Consider the following 18523-nt stretch of genomic DNA (forward strand, 5'->3'; position numbering starts at 1 on the left):
ATAACAGTGTTATTCAGAGTAGCCCCACACTGGACATAACCCAGTTGTCCATAAACAGGTGAATAAATAATCAAAAATACAGTCATACAAAGGAATACTACCAAGTAACAAAACAGGAATAAACTATTGATACCACATCATAGATGAATCTCAAAAACATTATAATGAATGAAGGATGCCAAGAAACAAAAGATTACATAAAGGATGATTCCATTTTTATGTAACTCTAGAAAAGAAAATTATCATCTATGTGATAGAAAGCAGAGCAGGGATTGCCTGGACCTGGAGGAGGGATAAATTACCTGGGGAAAGGCACAAGGAAACTTTTTAAGGGTGATGGAAATGTTCTATATCTTAATTGTGGTGATGGTTTCATGGGTGCGTATGTTTGTCAAACCCCATCAAAATACAGACTTAAAAATGGATGCATTTTATTGTATGTAAACTTTATACTTCAATAAAATTTATTTTTAAGTTACTGATTATATTTATTAAATATACACAGTAAACAAAATTAAGTTTCAGTTTCTATTTGAAGCTTTTTATAAGCAAAAAGAATGAAAGGAGAAAAAAGAGAAAGGCAAGACGCAGAAAAAATAGAATATAGGTCAATTTCAGTCTCTTTCAAAATTGTAAAATGAGGAGGTGGAATAATTATTTGATTTATTTGGATTTGTCTATTTTTATTTGAAGTGTTTTTTGTGTAATCAAAACTACAAAACCATTGCAATTATTTTTGTCCTCAGAATTTTCTTTCCTCTGAGTAACATCATGTACAAATTTCATTACATAGGCATTTAGACAGATTTTCATATAAATACATATTTGGGAAAGAATGTTTCTTTGCCAATTTCCAATGTAGAAATTAGATAAATACTAGGCATAAAAAGTTATGTGGTTGAATGCTTTTCTTTAATTTCCATGCCAAAAGACCAGAATCTCTAATATTGAACAAACTCTTTTAATTTTATTAGCAGTTACTCTTGTGGAATACAGAATTTGGTGCCAGAAAATCACATTATTCCACTGACAATTAGATAACATGGCCATATCTTTAGAGCACCAATATTAAATTACTGGAACATCAGAAAAAAATGAAACTGTGAATTATAATTTTCCCTAGCAACATATGTGTCTTTTTTTCCTGTTTCCCACTTCCCCACTTTTTCCCCAAACTGACTAATTTTCTATCTAATGTTCAGTGTTTTTAGGGCATAAATTAGCCCAAGTGCTTAAAATTTAAAGCCTTATTTTCCCATTTCCTATAAAGCAATATAGGGTTTTGCAGTGTTAACAAAAGGGACACCACATTGCTTATTGTTTTGCGCAAATTTTAAAATGGAAAAAAGTTTGAACACATCCTTTCTACATAGATGTAGTAAGTTTCATTGAAATAATACAAATCTTTTTTTTTTCCGAAATCACAGAAGAAAGCAAATACTTTTATTTTTCTCTATGGAGTTATTTAATGAGTTAATGAGTGAGTACATGAAATAGGAGTAGTAACTTACAAAGTGTACCCCAAAATGTCCTAAAAATTCTCAGTTAGCTGCAATTCTCAGCAACGGTGAGGCTTGATTCTAAACAATCCTAATCAAGTTGAATAGATTTATTCAGGAAAAAAAGTTATCACATATTTCAGGAAGCAGAGGAACAGAGCAACAAGTTGTTGCCCTGCCAACAGTGACCACAGAAGCCACAGCTAGACGGCGGCAGCCTGTTCGGTCACTGTATAAAGAAAGCAGTGGGCTGGGCACGGTGGCTCATGCCTGTAATCCCAGAACTTTGGGAGCCTGAGGCGAGTGGATCCCCTGAGGTCAGGAGTTTGAGACCAGCCTGGCCAGCATGGTGAAAACCCGTCTCTACTAAAAACACAAATTTTTTTTTTGTATTTTTACAAATACAAATTTGTATTTTACAAATACACTGGGTGTGGTGGTGCACATCTGCAATTCCAGCTACTCGGGAGGCTGAGGCAGGAGAATCACTTGAATCTGGGAGGTGGAGGTTGCGTTGAGCCAAGATCACGCCACTGCACTCCAGCCTGGGAAACGAGAGTGAAACTCCATCTCAAAAAAAAAAAAAAAAAAAAAAAAAAAAAGAAAGCAGTTCCCTGGCTAACCCAGGGTAATACTGGTGCCACCAACAGTGACAACAGCATTTAAGTAGCAAGGGTGAAAATATCGAATTCTGTTTTACACATTCACAGTTAACTGATGGTAGGACATTCTGTGAAGAGACTGCATTAATTCTGTTATACAGAGGACTAGAGAGACGTTTAGGATCGAAGAGAGGAGACCTGATAATTGTCTGTGTGGCTCAAATTTGTTTCAATATGTATGCAATTAGCCACAAAGGACAATATAGAGGCCAATGTAAAACTGCTGTCTCCACTGGTAATCATATAACAACAGCCTACTGTGTGTTGAACAATTGTTATGTATTTTTAATTATCATATTTGGAAACAATCCTGAAATATTATTGCTATTCCCTTTCAAAGATGAGGCTTATCACAACTAATTTGGTTTATCACAGCGACTCCCTTTCAAATACTGAGGCTTATCGCAACAAATTTCAAGGCCGCACAGGTAGGAAATGTTAAAAGGTCTGTCCCAAACCTGGGATATTAAAGAACTTCTGGTTCCCATTTTGTGTTCTTCACATTACTGGGGGAACCTAATAAAATAAGCCAATCATCAGAAAGTTGTAATAATAATAACTAACAATTATCAGGTACTTATTATGTTCCAGCTACTCATCTAAGAATTTTACTCTATTAATTCACCCAAATCCTAGCACTACAGGCCACATCATAATTCTCCTTTATGTGATCTTTATACTAATAAATATGGTTCAAAAAGAATTTCAAATCAACTTTGGCAAAAGGTGTACTTCAGAACATATTTTTAAACACTGCATGAGGTTTGCCTTTAACAAGCTCACTGTCTCATAGGGACAATTGCAATTACAAAGAACAATTGCAATATAGGATTAAAAACAAAAAATGTTATCATGGGGCCTTATATAGGATATTAGTAAGAACACTTGGGAGAGGTCCAAAAAAGGACCTGGAATAGTCACTCGGAATGAAACCTGCAAATAACATTCCAAAAGGTAGAAAAAATTCAGTGCAGTGAAAAATTCTGCCCAACACAGTGATGGAATAATTAATTGGCCTCCAATTGCCAACTAAGTATTGTATTGAAACAGGAACAATAGAGAGAACATGCTTTAGTTATAGTAAAACTGAAAACAGGAGCTTTGGAGCCTGGCAGATCTGAGTTTGCATTCTAGATTTGTCACTGCTTATTAGCGTGAAGCTCAGTGTTTTCCTTTATGAAATGAAAACATTACCTACTCCTAAGGAAGCTGTGAAGACTCAGGGTGGAATGTTTTTGAAATCACTGAATCAATAGCTGTTGTGAGTGTCTCTGCTGTGGCTTCCTAATGTAACTTTCTCCTTTAGGGAGCTCAGCACTAATGTCTTTCCTCCAGGCTCTTAGGACTCTTAAAACCTGCAAGGGCCCATTAACATTTCATGGGGACAGGCAATAACATTCATCTCTTTTACTCTCTGGGTGTTATTGGAGATAGCGATCATTTCCTATGTGAGCTTATGCCTCTAAAATTTTACTAGTTCGCCTTAAAATGAACAAGAGAATCATGGGATGGTGTGGGGTAAAACTAGTCAGCGCTAGCTCTCTTTTTCCCTCTTTTTCCTACGTGGGTGCCACTTATTCCTATAATGAGATCTTCCCCACTTCCCAAGTCTGCACAAGGTGTGAGAGAGTCCTTGTCAGTTAAAGGAAAGCCAGAATAGCTGCTTTCACTTAAATTTAGAGAAGCTGAAAAGTAGGTTGTCTTAAGTGGAATTAAATATGTTATTATCAAAAGAACTCAGCACCATCCTAGGATTACAGGCATCCTGATAATCCTCCTTCAGGTAAATGGGAAATAATTTTAGATGTTTCTAAACTTTTAAAGAAAAATTTTAGAAAATGTTTGCTTGGTTCTTAACATTCTTTCTTTTTATCCACAGCGACCACCATCTTTAACCAAATATTTTCTGTTTCTTCCACATTACTCTTTGGTAGAAACAAAATATTAATTAACCTTAAAACTTTGCATCTAAAAATGAAAAGTTAACTCCCAAGATCTGTGATAAAAGCCATCTTCAGCCATTACACCCTGCTCCTTACTCTCCACTATTCTCTCAATTTTTTTTTTTAACTAGGCCCTTTGTTTCCCTGGACTCATAATTATAGAAATAAAACATGGGGAAATACGACTGTATTTCAGTCTTTCATTATGTAAGCATAAGGAAATTCATCTTTGAATACATGTAAGTTCACTGCTGTCATGAAAATGTACTCTCCATGGTTTTTCTCCATGAAAACCATACAAACACCAATCACTACTCTTCTATGTTCCCACTCATTCCTTTCTAAATACTATCTGAAGTCTATTTATTGACTAGGGTTAAGCCTCTCCAAGTTAAACTTGAGGATGTTCTCTTTCCAGTGAGCCACTTCATACCAAACAAGCTTCCCCCTCTCCTTTTTGCCCCTCAATTGTGAAGGAAACAGTCCTTTCCTTTTTCAAAGCACTGAGAAATCCTCAAAGCTCAATTGTCCAGTGAATTCTTTCTAATTCCAAAGTTTAATGAACCTTAAGACAATACATTTCTGACAGCATTTCTGTAATTACATCTAATACTTCTGATTTTCTTAGTTTCTATCACTTCTTGACTTCTCATTTAGGATGAGTTATTAAGTGTATTTCTTAATCTCTGGATCTAGAAATATTTTTGTTTTAGCTATTGCCAGACAAAGACATTCCCAGTAAGAGCCTTATAGAGTGACCACAAATGACTGACAAATGAGTTGGACACTGTTGCACAAGTTTCTCCCCTTTTTAATAATCCTTAAGGTGAGCTCAGAGCTTTTTTAAGAATTTTTTTAATCACTAAATTCACCATGAGGAGAAGCAGGTGAAAACCGCTTAAATTAAACCAGGGATACAAGGGGCTTATATCACTTCGTTTTCAGTTCTCATAGGAGAAGACAGTATGAAAGAAGTCGACCCTATCTTTGGAGACAAGACTTAGATTTGAATCCTTGCTGTTCTCTTTAATTCCTATGTAACCATGAAAAATCTGCACGTGAGGTTCTTTAATATCTAAAATGAATAAAATGCACATACTTTATACAGTCAATTCCAAGATAAATAAAAGCATTATTAAAGTTACAAATTCAAGTTTGTTGCTCCAAAATCCCTGGGAGAGGTCACAGATGGAAAAATCAGTTTCAAACAGATTTTCCTCTAAATCCAACCCACACACAGAGATCCTCATTTACTCCTCTACTCCACAACTCCTTTAATCTCACTGCTTCATCCTTAAGGCAAGGAAAATCACATCTAAATTAGATATTGCATTCTTCCAAGCAACCACTAAACAATTGCTAGGATATGTCTCTAAAAGCTTCTACTTACTGATTCTGGTTGAAGGGCTCTGGTGTTTCTTCCTAGAATTTAGAGGAACTGCACATGATCTGGGGAGACTAAAGTGTATCCTTTTATCTTAAACAGCTAATTGGATTAACAGAGAATTTCCATCCAAAATGACACCCATTACATATACTTTCATTTCCTCATAAAATATAGTTCATTTTACTGTAGTGTCACTTCATAAAAACAAAGCTCATTCATCACATTCTGACACCTGTGGTTTTGACATATGCCACTGCACTTTAACAATTAGATGTTCCAAAAGGATCCCAGCACCAGCAAGATAATATTCTCCTGAATCCTTAAGCATCAGAGAGAAACAGATAAATTTCACTGTTGTAATCAGTAAAACCTTGTTGTGAATAAGACTTGCGGGTGGAGACTTCTGGTCACTATCAGAGGTAGAGAAAAAAACAGACTGGTGCATTTTGTCCCAGTTGAAGTTGAAAGGAATATTTCTGCATTCACATTTCAGACCAGAGTCGTCACTCTGACCCTGCCAACATTTCAAGAGAGGCCCCTAAGATGAGGCCTTTATCCCTGCAAACAAGCTTATTCTATGTCCGACAACAAGATCCAAAGCCTAAAACATTTTGTTCAGGCATTTATTTCACACTATTTAATGGTAAGCCTCCAACTTCCTCAAGTCACTGGGGGGGCTGTGTGTACATTCTGGAAGTTCACCATGATTATAGTAGAACTAATAAATTGATGGTCTTTTTTTTTTTGTAAACCCTCTGCTTCTGTCTCATACTCCTCTTATTTTCACCATCATCCTCAGTGCCACTGAAATGACTTTTAATTAGCTTCTCCCCTTGCATTCTTGCTTGGTTTCATCAGCAGTAGTCACCCCCTTACATGCAGTTTCAATTGTCAAAGTTTCAGTTGCCTACCACCAGCCTTGGATGGAAAATTTTACATGCAATAAAATATTATGTGTGTGTGTGTTTGTAAGAGAGAGACCACAGTCACATAACTTTTATTAGAGTATATTGTTATAAGTGTTCTATTTTATTATAGGCTATTGTTGTTAATCTCTTACTGTGACTAATTTATAAATTAAATTTTATCATAGGTATGTACTTACAGGAAAACAACAGTGTATATAGGATTTAGTGCTGTCTGTGGTTTCAGGCACCCCCGGGGGTCTTGAAACATAACCCACTCAAATAAGGGGGGACTACTGTATTTTTTCTGCGACCAGAGTGATCTATTTCAAATGCAAATCTCTTCATGCTACTTCCTCCTTAAAATTTTGCAAGATATTTGATATCTCTTCCTTCCCTCTTCATCCCTTCTCCTACTCCCAGCATCTCTACACTTATCTTTTACCTCTGTCCACCATCAGTTTCCTGAAATCCCAAAATGTAGAATTACTTTCCCTCCCATTGAGCTACGTTCTCAGGCTCAAGGCCTTTATACAAACTGTTAACCCACCTGGAAGCCAATCCAATTACACTAGAACCTCTGGGTGGGGCACAAGCAAGGGTATTCTTTTAAAGCTCCCTAGGTGCTTCTAATGTACAGCCAGTGTACATTTAAACCCTTGCTTTACTAAAAAAAACAAATTCAGAGAAGTTATCAAGTTTATCCAAGATCACATGCCACAGGATTCTTGTTACCTTTGTTTCCCCAAAATAAGGTATCTCATAATTAATGATTCTTTGAATGTCAATCACAGCTATAGACACTTTCTAAATTTGATTTTTAAATATTATTTTGAAGTAGCAACTGAACAGGGGATGCAATGGGAAAACACTTGCACTGCATGTCAGTTCTTACCTTCTTCAAAATGATCCTACAGTCAGCTATTTCAGGTTGTCATTTTTAGTTAAGATATCAATATGGCTGCATAGTATTCCATGGTGTATATGTACCACATTTTCTTCATCCAGTCTATCATTGATGTGCATTTAGGTTGATCCCATGTATTTGTTATTGTGAATAGTGCTGTAATGAACATAATGTGTGCGTGCAACTTTAAAATAGAACGGTTTATATTTCTTTGGGTATATACCCAGTAACGGGATTGCTAGGTCTAGCAGTATTTTTGGTTTTAGGTCTTTGAGAAATCATCATACTGTCTTCCACACTGAACTAATTTACATTCTTACCAACGGTGTATAAGCATTCGTTTTTCTTCACAACCTCACCAGCGAAATCATGTTCTTTGCAGGGATGGATGGAGCTGGAGGCCATTAAACTTAGCAAACTAACCCAGGAACAGAAAACCAAATACTGTATGTTCTCACTTATAAGCGGGAGCCTAATAATGAGAACACATAGACACATGGAGGGGAACGATACACACTGGGGCCTACTGGAAGGTGGAGGGTGGAGGTTGGGAGGAGGGAGAAGATCAGGAAAAATAACTAATGGGTACTAGACTTAATACCTGGGTGATGAAATAATCTGTATGACAAACCCCCATGACACAAGTTTACCTATGTAGCAAACCTGTACAGGCACCCCTGAACTTAAAGTAAGCTAAAACAGATACTAATATGAGAATTTTGGAATCTGTAAAATTTCTCTGTGAAAACCTACTTTTGAGAAGGCATAACCCAGGAATAACACAGTGGGTTATCATTTATGTTCCTTATTTCAAATGTGTTATTAGGGGCAAAATAAAACTTTGGTTAAGATATTCCAAAGATAAATCTTTGCAGCTAAATTTAAACTATGAGTTGATTTCTGGTCTTTCGCCTTAAAACTACAGAAGTGAATCTGAATCTGAGGCATCCCTCTGTGTTCCCCATTCTGTTTCCCAGTCCTCAAAGACGAGGCTCTCAGTGCTTTAGGCACAGAGGTGCTAACCTTTTGTGTTATTTCATACAACCTATTGTGCCTGGATTATGGTGACATGTCCTTTGACTATTAATTGCAATCTGTAGATAATGATAAGAGCAAGTTTCTGCCTCCCCAAGGTGAGGCACAGCCAATAGGCCAGATCTATAATTTAGGACTACCAGGAGTGAGCTTTGAACCTTGCCTTTGGCGATAACGTTATCAATCAGAAGAATTAACCAAACCTCCTAGCTGAGGACTTTAACAAATGGAACTATGCAAAGGTAAAGCAGATAGGCAACACATCAAAATATAAACGGCTTAATTGTGATTTAGGTATTCAACTTATGAGAACAATTTTTTTCTTCTTTGGAATAATTAAGTTGTAAGAAAATAAATCTAGCCATACTTTTAAAAATGAGAAAATGTTCAGGCTAAAGATATATAGTTATAACTTATAAGACTTACAAGATTAATATAATGAAGAAGAGATTATCATAGTGTGTGTGTGTGTGTGTGTGTGTGTGTGTGTGTGTGTGTGTGTGTGTGTGTGTGGCTGCCCTCTACTGGGGACCGAAGGACGAGTTCTCAATTGAGTTCTCCCAGCTCAATTTCAGTTGAAAATCTCTTCATGACAAAAATTAAATCAAGCACCTAGCAAAGTTCTAAGCACCAGAGACAAAGTATAGTACCACAAGACTATAAATCCTAAAGGTTTTTTTTTTTTTCTAAATTGACCCTACTTTACATTTTAGAGGAAAATCGTTGAAATTATGCAAAGACAGCCTTTACTGAGAATGATTTTTACCCTTAAGACTGAGAGTTTCATTCTGAATTGACATTCAGGATGAATGCCAATGAGTCAGATCAGCTTTATTCAGTATCAGTTACACACATATAAAATGATTTTAGTACTTTTAAAATTTTTTCACTCTCAAGATTTGGTAACCTTGGCTGGGCGTGGCAGCTTACGCCTATAATCCCAACACTTTGGGAGGCTGGGGCAGGCAGATCACTTGAGGCCAGGAGTTTGAGACCAACACTTGAGGCCAACATGGTGAAACCCTGTCTCTACTAAAAATACAAAAATCAGCTGGGCATGGTGTTGGGTGTCTGTAATCTCAGCTACTCGGGAGCCTGAGGCAGGAGAATCACTTAAACCTGGGAAGCGGAGGTTGCAGTGAGCCGAGATTGTGCCACTGCACTCCAGCCTGGGTGACAGAGCAAGATTCTATCTCAAAGAAAAAAAAAAAAAAAAGGCTGGGCATGATGGCTCACATCTGTAATCCCAGCACTTTGGCAGGCCGAGGCGGGCAGATCACCTGAGGTCAGGAGTTCAAGACCAGCCTAACCAACAGGGAGAAACCCGTCTCTACTAAAAAAACAAAATCAGCCAGGCATGTTGGCACATCCCTGTAATCCCAGCTACTCCAGAGGCTGAGGCAGGAAAGTCACTTGAACCTGGGAAGCAGAGGTTGCAGTGAGCCGAGACCATGCTATTGCACTCCAGCCTGGGCAACAAGAGCGAAACTGTCTCAAAAAAAAGAAAAAAAAAAAGATTTGGTAACCCCATATTTTCTGTCTAGTTCTAGTAAATTGTATGACTTTATTTCACTGATGAATTTCTTTTGTTTTCTCTCATTTAATCTTTTTAATACTATGAAGTAAGTATTATTAATATCCTCAACTTATCATATGAAAGAATTTAAGTACAAAGATGTAAATAAATTTTCTGAAGCCTCGCAGCTAGAAACAAAACGTAGGAATTTTGATGCAGGAAATCTCAGGACAGAAGCCATGCTCTCAGCAACCACACTAAAAGGCCTTTCACGTAACATGGTGCTGAGCACGTAACATAGTTATGTTGCAAAAATGTACTTGCAGAGCAAGATTATTCACCTATTCATTCTTGAAAATCAGCGTGTTATGAGTTAGTCTTAAATTTCTCCAAGGCAAAACTATGACACAATGTATGCCATGCTAAATTATGGAAATATTTCATCCTGAGATGCCAAATTTTAAAGCAGAAATACTGAAAGTAAATATAGTTTACATTCCATAGATTTTGTTGTTCTTGGAATTCTTCATGCTTTTTCTAACCCTCCACCCTTTGCTCATTTTCATTATCTTTACATGACTTAGTTATGCCAATACCTCCTAGCCTACTATAATCTGCACTACTCTGCTTGGAATGCCATAACAAAATATCATTGACTTGCTGGCTTAAGCAACAGAAATTTTTGTTCATACAGTTCTGAAGGCTGGAAGTTCGAAATTAGGGTGCCAGTATAGTCGGGTTCTGGTGAGGTCCCTTTTCCAGGTTGCAGAGAGTCACCTTTCACAATGTACTCACATAGTCTTCCCTGGATGTGAGAGCTAGAAGGCCATGAGGTAGATGAAGCAGATGAAGGGAGGGAGGGTAGTAGGGGAGAGCAACCTCTTCCTCTTCTTATAAAGCCACCAATTCTATGGGATTAGGACTCCACCCTTATGACCTCATTTATCTTGGTTACCTCCTGAAAGCCCTATATTCAAATATAGTCACATTGGGGGTAAGGGCTTCCATATATGAATCGGGGGCATACAATGCAGTCCATAACATCATCTTTTACATTTCAATTGCATTTTCTCCATTCTTAGAATTAATATATTGGAATCACCTGTACACTTACCTGTGTCTCGTTATACATGTGTTCCCTCAGGCCAAATTCTAACTATATTGCCATTGTATCCCAGGCACCGAACCTATCCATGTGGTGAGTACTGTTGGATGAATAAATCAATGATACCAAATGGCTTTATTCTGATTCTTTACCAGCTCTTAGAAGCAAATGTCATAATTAAAGCAGGGGTGATAGGTTTGTTGGCTTAAGCAGATACCTGGGCCTTTACTGGAGATAAAACACCAGAACAAGCCTTATGCTCATTCAGCCACTAAACATCATAAATTTTAGTCCCCTCCAAAGTCCTCATCAAAATAATAGAATTTGCACGACAATAAAGTTAAACACTGGGCAACAGCCATGACTGTGCTAGGAAGCAAGTGTTTCAACTGTTCAGGTGTGTAGCACACCAATTCAATTTGTAATTTCTTATTTCAGGTGAACACATTTTTTAAGAATAGGCTGAATGATTTCATAAATTATATCCATTGAATAAATGACCATGCAATATACATACCATACTCAACAATCAGTTAAAATTAGGTATAAAAAAAGACATTGTAATCAGGCCTGTACAAAACTTTATTATACTCTGAATAACAAGCATGTAACAAAATTTTGAGCATGACAAGGATGAAATATTTCAAATTCTGTTTCTTACAAAAGCATTAAGCACAATACACAAAGACTGTTCATAATATTTTACAGTCAGCTAAAAATAACAAGACATTCTAGGATTTCAGGAGTTTTCCTTTTCTTTCAACTAGAGCATTAGCTTTATTTCCATTAGCTTTGCTACAATGAAAATTAACATATATGGACATACACATATAAGTGAAATGGAAAATGAAGGCATACAACAAACATTCCGATTAATCAACAAGTATAAAATAGTCTTTTAGTACTTCCAAACTTACATTTTCTTTGAATGTACAATGAAACTTTTTGTCTAAAATGTTTTTAATGTTAATTTTGACCATTCCCAAAGTAATTAATACTCTTTCTTAGCACCACCATTAATCTAATTTTAGAGTTTGAAATGAATTAAGAAACACTCTAATCTTATTCAGAGGTGCTATTCACAACACCGAACAACAGGCAATCCACTGCCCCTTATCAAGGCTGAGACACTGTAGTAAATGAGTAGTTCACCAATACTGTCTATCCCAGGTGAATATCAGCCCTGATCTTACTTCCAATGATGAGATACATGTTTTGGCTTATGTAGTAGCATGAGCTATGAGATAGGAAACATGAAAGTCACATGGACATGAAATTAAACTCAAATCTCTACTGCATGGAGGCTGAATGTGAAATATTTCACAGTGACTAAAACTGACTGGCTAACAGGCAATGGTGGATTTTTATATTCAACTTTGATTAACATAAATGGACTTTACAAGAAACCCTTGAGATTTAATTAATGCTGCTAATCCAAGGGCTCCAAATGACTGAGGAGCCTTTAAAATCAGTATATGTGATCTTTTATATTTTTTTCCATAAGAAAAAAAAAATAAAAACACCGAGGTACTTAAGTTTCTTTTCAAGGGATTACTGTTGGTTATCTTCCTGAGATGCAAAAGACCACAGAAAAAGCACCATGCCTAGGCTGCTGAATGAGGCATCAGACACTAATAGTTTGGTCCTTTTCTGAACGGATCTCTTCTGGCAATTACACTAAAACATAGTGATGGGTCGCAGATGCCTGGGGGGCCTGGTTGCCCTTGGATTCCAGGTTTTCCATGGTCTCCATCTTTGCCAGGGAGACCTGGGTCTCCTGGAGGACCTTCTTTGCTTATTCCAGGAGGGCCCTCTGGACCTAAGATGGGACATTGGCAAGACGTAAACAGAGGACTTTAGTTTTTTATAATGAAATAGCCAATTCTGCAAGAAACTTAAACTGAAAAAAAAAACCTTGAATATTTTATATATTTGCACTAATTATATAGTAGAGGCATTTTCTTGATAATTCTACATGTCTTCTGCTTTGAAAAGAACCATCCAAAAGTTAAAGTTATCAGTAATTTTTGAAAACTAGGCTAAGCATATTAACATAGTAACCATGCTACTGATTAAAACATTTAGCTAACATTATAATATTCCATTTTGTGTATTGTCCAATCTTATTTCTTCCTTTCAGCCTATCTTTTACCAATATTATTATAAATTAACAGGTGATACCTACGTAAGCCAAAGCTGAGTCATTTTTGTGCCGTATTTGCAACAAAAAACTGTTTCTATTATACATATTTTTAGTTTCCATATCTAAATGCATTATTCTTATTACTTTAGTATTATAGTCATCAATATCATCAATACTCATAGGTATTAAAGCCCTAATTTGTCAAACATAGCCTGATTAGTTCAATTAGCATGCTCAAGGAAACAAAAGCTAGCTTACCATACTGGCCTTTTAAAGTTGATTCAAAATAACAAAAAATATTCAGATTTTGGGAAGGAGCACAGTGGTTTGGGCCACTTCTTACTCCTCTACTCCCTGCTACTACTACTAATAAACATCTATTTACCACTTAACTGCAATTGTAAGTGTTGTTCAAAGTATTTTACATAAATAGTATTAAGTCATTTGATCAACTCCAAAGCCTATTAATAACATCTAATCATAGCATACATTTATTGAAAACATAACTGTGATTGTCTTGCACTGTTCTGAAAGCACTACATATAGAAAGTATTTAATCTCCCAATAACGTCATGATGGAGATAACATTATCATCACCATTTTACCAATGAGGAAACTGAGACATGGCAGAGTTAAACTGCACAGCTAGCAGAGATTACTTAACCGCTTCAGCATTTCTCTGCTTCCCTGAGAGTCATAAAGACTAAACAGTGTTATACACCAGATAAGCAGGGGTGACTAAAATGATTCTAGAACTCTTCTAAGGAATAGATATTAAACTATCTAAATGATAAGCAAGAGATAATATTGAAGGATTCATAAATTGAGGATAATATATGAAAAAATATTCCAGAAGTTAGACTTCAGTGTGTTAAATGTGAATCACTCAAAAAAGAAAACAGATGTCTCAGTTTCAATTTATTTCACATAGATCTATGATGACTTTTCTTAAAGCAAAATGAGCAGTAACACTTATGAGCAGGTAGCAATTCTCACCTGGGGGACCAGGAGGACCTTGTTCTCCAGGATACCCAAACCCTTGGCTCCCTTTTTCCCCATTTCTTCCTGGTAGGCCTGCAGGGTGTCAAACATCTGAGTAAGTTTACTTAAAATCACTGCCTTCTAGATTGTTTCATTCAAAGCTGTTAATATACACATGAAAGAAAAATGTCTTTTAAAAACCAGCTTGCCATCTATTTTTTCTTACTAATGGAAAACAAGTTTTGAAGCAATAATTTCTAAAATGATCAGTGGTTTAGATCCAAGACTTAATGGGAATCAAATATTTAGAAAAGAAAATGGTTTGGAATTATTAGCCCTTTGTGTTAATCATAGTTTTTTAAAATTACTTTATGAAACATCTAAATTGCTTATATACTATTAAACAAAAAGGAAAGAATTATCAATCAACATTTCACATAAACATTCAAAGGCAAGGAGAAATTCTGGGCTATTAGGAAGTTTTATCACAAAACTTATTTTTTCCTATAATAGAAAAAAAAATGAATAAGGTAACAGTGCAGAAAGTTACCAAAGTCAAAATAAAGGAAATGGCATCTGTGATTTTCTATTTAAAAACTTTTCTAGACTCAAGCAAAATTTCTCAGTACATTGGCAACATTTTCTAATTTGTAAGTTTATGTGTTCATAAATTTGACTTCTCTTTTTGAGAATATTGCATTAAGAAAATAATTTCTCTTTAATTCAGTTGGCAAATTATTTAAAGACGAGCATTTACAGATTTTTTTATCATGAAAAAAGTTAACTCGACTATTAAATGGATATAGGGTATGAATTTTTAAAAAAAGACTTTTTAAAATTCATTTTCTTGTTGAAACTAACTGCATACCTTTTAATCCTCTGACACCTGGACGTCCAGGGACACCCACTAATCCAGGAACACCATCTCTTCCTGGCAAACCAGGTAATCCTCTGGGACCCTCTGGGCCTATCGGACCAGGTGGCCCAGGAATACCCGGGGAGCCATGTTGGGACAGGCAATGATCACAATTTCTAATTCTTCCACTCTGAAGTAAGACTGGTAGCTGGGCTTTCAAAAACAAAGAAACCCCATCCCTTATGTTTAAATGGTGAGTTGGTGTTAATTATATTTTTAATTTTTTTCAGTTTACAGAGAAAAAACTACGAACATTGAATATGTGCATATTTCTTGGCCAATAATTTCACTTCTAGGAATTTGACTATGGAAATATTCATTGCTCTGTGCGGTAATTTTATTAGAGCAATTGCTTAAAATAGGGGAAAAAGTGAAAGTGCCCCCAAAAGAAATTGGTGGACTATATTCATATTTATGAACTAAATTATCAAAAAATATGCTACAAAAGAAAATTCAAATAATGGCAAAATAATAAATGTCTTTATTAAAAAGATTATAAAAGAGTATATATGATAAATCTTTATAAAAATACTCATTGAAGAAAAGTAGATGAGGCTTATAAATGTTATCTGTTTTCTTCTTCACCTCACTTATATCCTCTACAATATGTCCTAAGAATTTGTATTACTTTTGTAATTTGAGAAAAGTTATTAAAATGCTATATTTGATACCTACCTCTTATTACATCTGTGCAAACTTGTCGAATAAATTGTTCTGAAAACTCTCTTCCCTGCATCAAAGTGTTAGGGGTTATAACATGCACATAAAGAACATGAGCAAAAATCAATGAAAATGTAATAACTGTGAAAGAAGCAGAATACATACGGGCTTCCCATCCAAACCTGGGGGTCCCTGAGGACCTGGATCCCCAGGTTGCCCCTTAGGACCTGCGGGCCCCATCAAGCCATCCACCCCAGATTCTCCTTTTGATCCAATGGCACCTCGGACACCAGGTTCTCCCTTTTCACCTCTCTAAAAGCAAAAGAAATCTTTACAAGTTCTATTTAAATATTTCAGGAGGTATAATTGCATCATGAAGCTCGTTAAGGATGTGAATATGCATGTATACATATGTAAATATGTAAGGTATGTAAGGAATAGCCGGAAATATTGTCATTGACCAGAAGGGAAATTTCATGTCATATTAAACTGTCATTTATCCATCCATCCAACCAGCCAGACCTACAAGTATCCACAACTGATTGAGTATATTGTATAGGTAATACGCATACTGCCAGAGATAAAACAATGGGCATAACACAGTCCTATTCACAAGGAGCTTGCATTTTAGTGGGTCCGACAGATACAGAAATGTACAATATTCTTTATTCAAAAATATGGAGAAAAAATTCAGCTCCAAGTCTGGAAGAAAAACCAATAATATTGACAATTCACATTTCATATCAAATTCAGTATAAATGTACATATTCTGAAAACAATTAATTGGGAACTTCTACTGAAGAAGATGAAAAACATTTCGTTTTCTGGTTTTTACTCAAAAGCTAGATTTATATAGTATTGAAACCCAAGCAAAAAGGACCGAAGAAAGAGAGCAAGAGAGCATAATATATGAAGAAACATACCTCTCCTTTTGCACCATGATGGCCTTGAATTCCCTTTGAAAATTAATAGAAAAAATATAATAAATGTGCAAGCTACAGTACTGTAATGTGGCATCCACCTTTTACCACATACTTAATTAAATTTAAAATTTCAATTTGGAAAATATTGATAGCATTAGTGACAGAATTACAGACCCTTTTTGCCTTTTAGAGAAGGCTAATGACTAGGAAATATGTTGACTGAATAATATAAAAATTTTAATTTGCTTAACTGTTTCCTTCTTAGATATGAATATTTTCAAATGCTGCAGGTTGAATCATGTGGGTAAGAATGGGATTCTACTGAATTTAAAATATAGTACTATTTTAATAATAATAAAAACTCAAATCAGATTAAATATTAGGTATATTTTTTCTTGTATTCAGTGATTAAGATGACTAGTGTATTTTCCCAAGTTTATGTTCTTAAAATTAAATTTTGATTGGTTGCTATTGACAAAGGATGGGTTAAAGCAAAGATACCATTAAAAGTGACTAGTAAGACAGAAAACTCCCAGCTGTCCTGTGCTTAAACCATTCACTGCCAGTAATTAAGAGACCAGAGAAGCAATGTCATCTAAAAGATGGTATTTTTTCACAGTGATATAAACACTGGGGAGCCCATGCATGAAGCTCATTCAACTATAATTACTAGCTACATCTGGATGGCTCCATTAAAGTCTCTCCCACTCCTCTTTTCCATATTTATTTCAGTGGTGTATTATAGAGGAAAAAAACTCTCAGGAAAGGTATTAACATTTTCCATTTTTGAAATTCATTGTACACCTGGGCTCAAAAATCTCCTAATATTCACTCAGGAAAAAAGATAAAACTTTAATAACAGGTAGGTTTTCATTATTCAACTTTAAAATAAAAAATCAGTGTTCTGCAATTTAATATGAAATTTAATGTATAATGTTGCACACAATGAAGTCTGAGTTGGGGTATATCTGTTGATTAATTTTCAGGCTCCTCAAACATGGCTATCCAAATTAGACAAAGAAAAGAATTAAATAAAAATCATCATAAAACACCAAATATTTAGTTTTTATATATGAATCTTTTAGTAAGTAAAACAAACTTTGTATGGTCATACTTGAATTTTGTTTCTGAAGAAATGCGGGAGTGATCCTTACAAGATATAATCCAACAACTAGGACCAACATAAGAGAGACAAAACAGTTAAGTTCTCAATATGGGAATTGAATTAGAGCTAAAACTAAAAAGAGCTGTCATCTGAGAACACATTAAGATGATTCTCTGAGAGAAATATTCACTTTGACTCCATTCACAAAACGAGGGCCAAAAAATACACATGTGTTGTGCTTGGTAGAGTGACAGGTAACTAAGACTGTGTTTACATGAAGAGTTTGGGATGACTATTCAGCTGCTGAAAAGCAACAGCTGCTCTGGCCCTGGGTACTCCATGTAGGCTAAGCTCCTGGTGGTGAGAAATGTAGCTTCCAACCAATCTAGGGCAGAAGCTTTCTAGGGAACCCAAATCCTGCCTTAGGAGAGCACACACACTCTTTTCCTTGAGAAGTGAAAAAGTTAGTGGAAACTTAGAGAAAGTGTGATCCATAAGCCAGTGAGCTAGCTAAGTTGTGAGTTCAAATTCTAAAGGAAATATCCTTCTTTTCTGAGAGTTATTGTAAGTAACATTTTTTGATAAAAGGTCTGGGCTGTAGAGGTTAAATGAAGGGAAGAAGGTCCTATGGGAATAGCAGTTTATAGATGTTTTGTGATTGACTTAAGGAAACTCAGAGAGTTGATCTGTGTTGCCAGGTTGGGGAATAGGATGGAGTTGTTTGTGTCATCAAGTGGGTCTGAGTCAAGTGGAGGATCATGAAAACTGAAAGACATTTTATTGAACATAATTGTACTCAGGCAATTCCAATCATTCCTCCTCTTGGTTACTTTTAC

General features: G+C 35.7%; 1 protein-coding gene across 14 annotated transcripts in view, besides 1 other annotated feature; it reads right to left on the reverse strand.

The window, feature by feature from the left end:
- Positions 1525-1819: a silencer, noted in NCBI's record as "tiled region #6371; HepG2 Repressive non-DNase unmatched - State 24:Quies". NCBI's record gives its function as "represses a minimal TATA promoter and a strong SV40 promoter by Sharpr-MPRA in HepG2 cells {active_cell/tissue: HepG2}" and the evidence as "EXISTENCE:reporter gene assay evidence [ECO:0000049][PMID:27701403]".
- The window catches only part of COL21A1 (collagen type XXI alpha 1 chain), a 337539-nt gene continuing 330539 nt past the window's right edge, over positions 11524-18523 (reverse strand). For 13 of the 14 annotated variants that reach the window (NR_134849.2, NR_134850.2, NR_134851.2 and 10 more), the window contains 6 exons: positions 16583-16615; positions 15825-15971; positions 15675-15729; positions 14952-15152; positions 14099-14176; positions 11524-12778 (listed from right to left, as the gene is read on the reverse strand). Coding sequence is in view for 11 of the 14 variants with exons in the window: in NM_001318752.2 (NP_001305681.1) it covers positions 12591-12778; positions 14099-14176; positions 14952-15152; positions 15675-15729; positions 15825-15971; positions 16583-16615 (702 nt within the window). In the remaining 3 variants the exon portion in view is untranslated. The remainder of the gene's footprint in view (positions 12779-14098; positions 14177-14951; positions 15153-15674; positions 15730-15824; positions 15972-16582; positions 16616-18523) is intronic. The other variant, NM_001318754.2, reaches the window with a different exon arrangement.

The sequence above is a fragment of the Homo sapiens genome, chromosome 6 (genome assembly GCF_000001405.40).
Source record: "Homo sapiens chromosome 6, GRCh38.p14 Primary Assembly".
Lineage (NCBI taxonomy): Eukaryota > Metazoa > Chordata > Mammalia > Primates > Hominidae > Homo > Homo sapiens.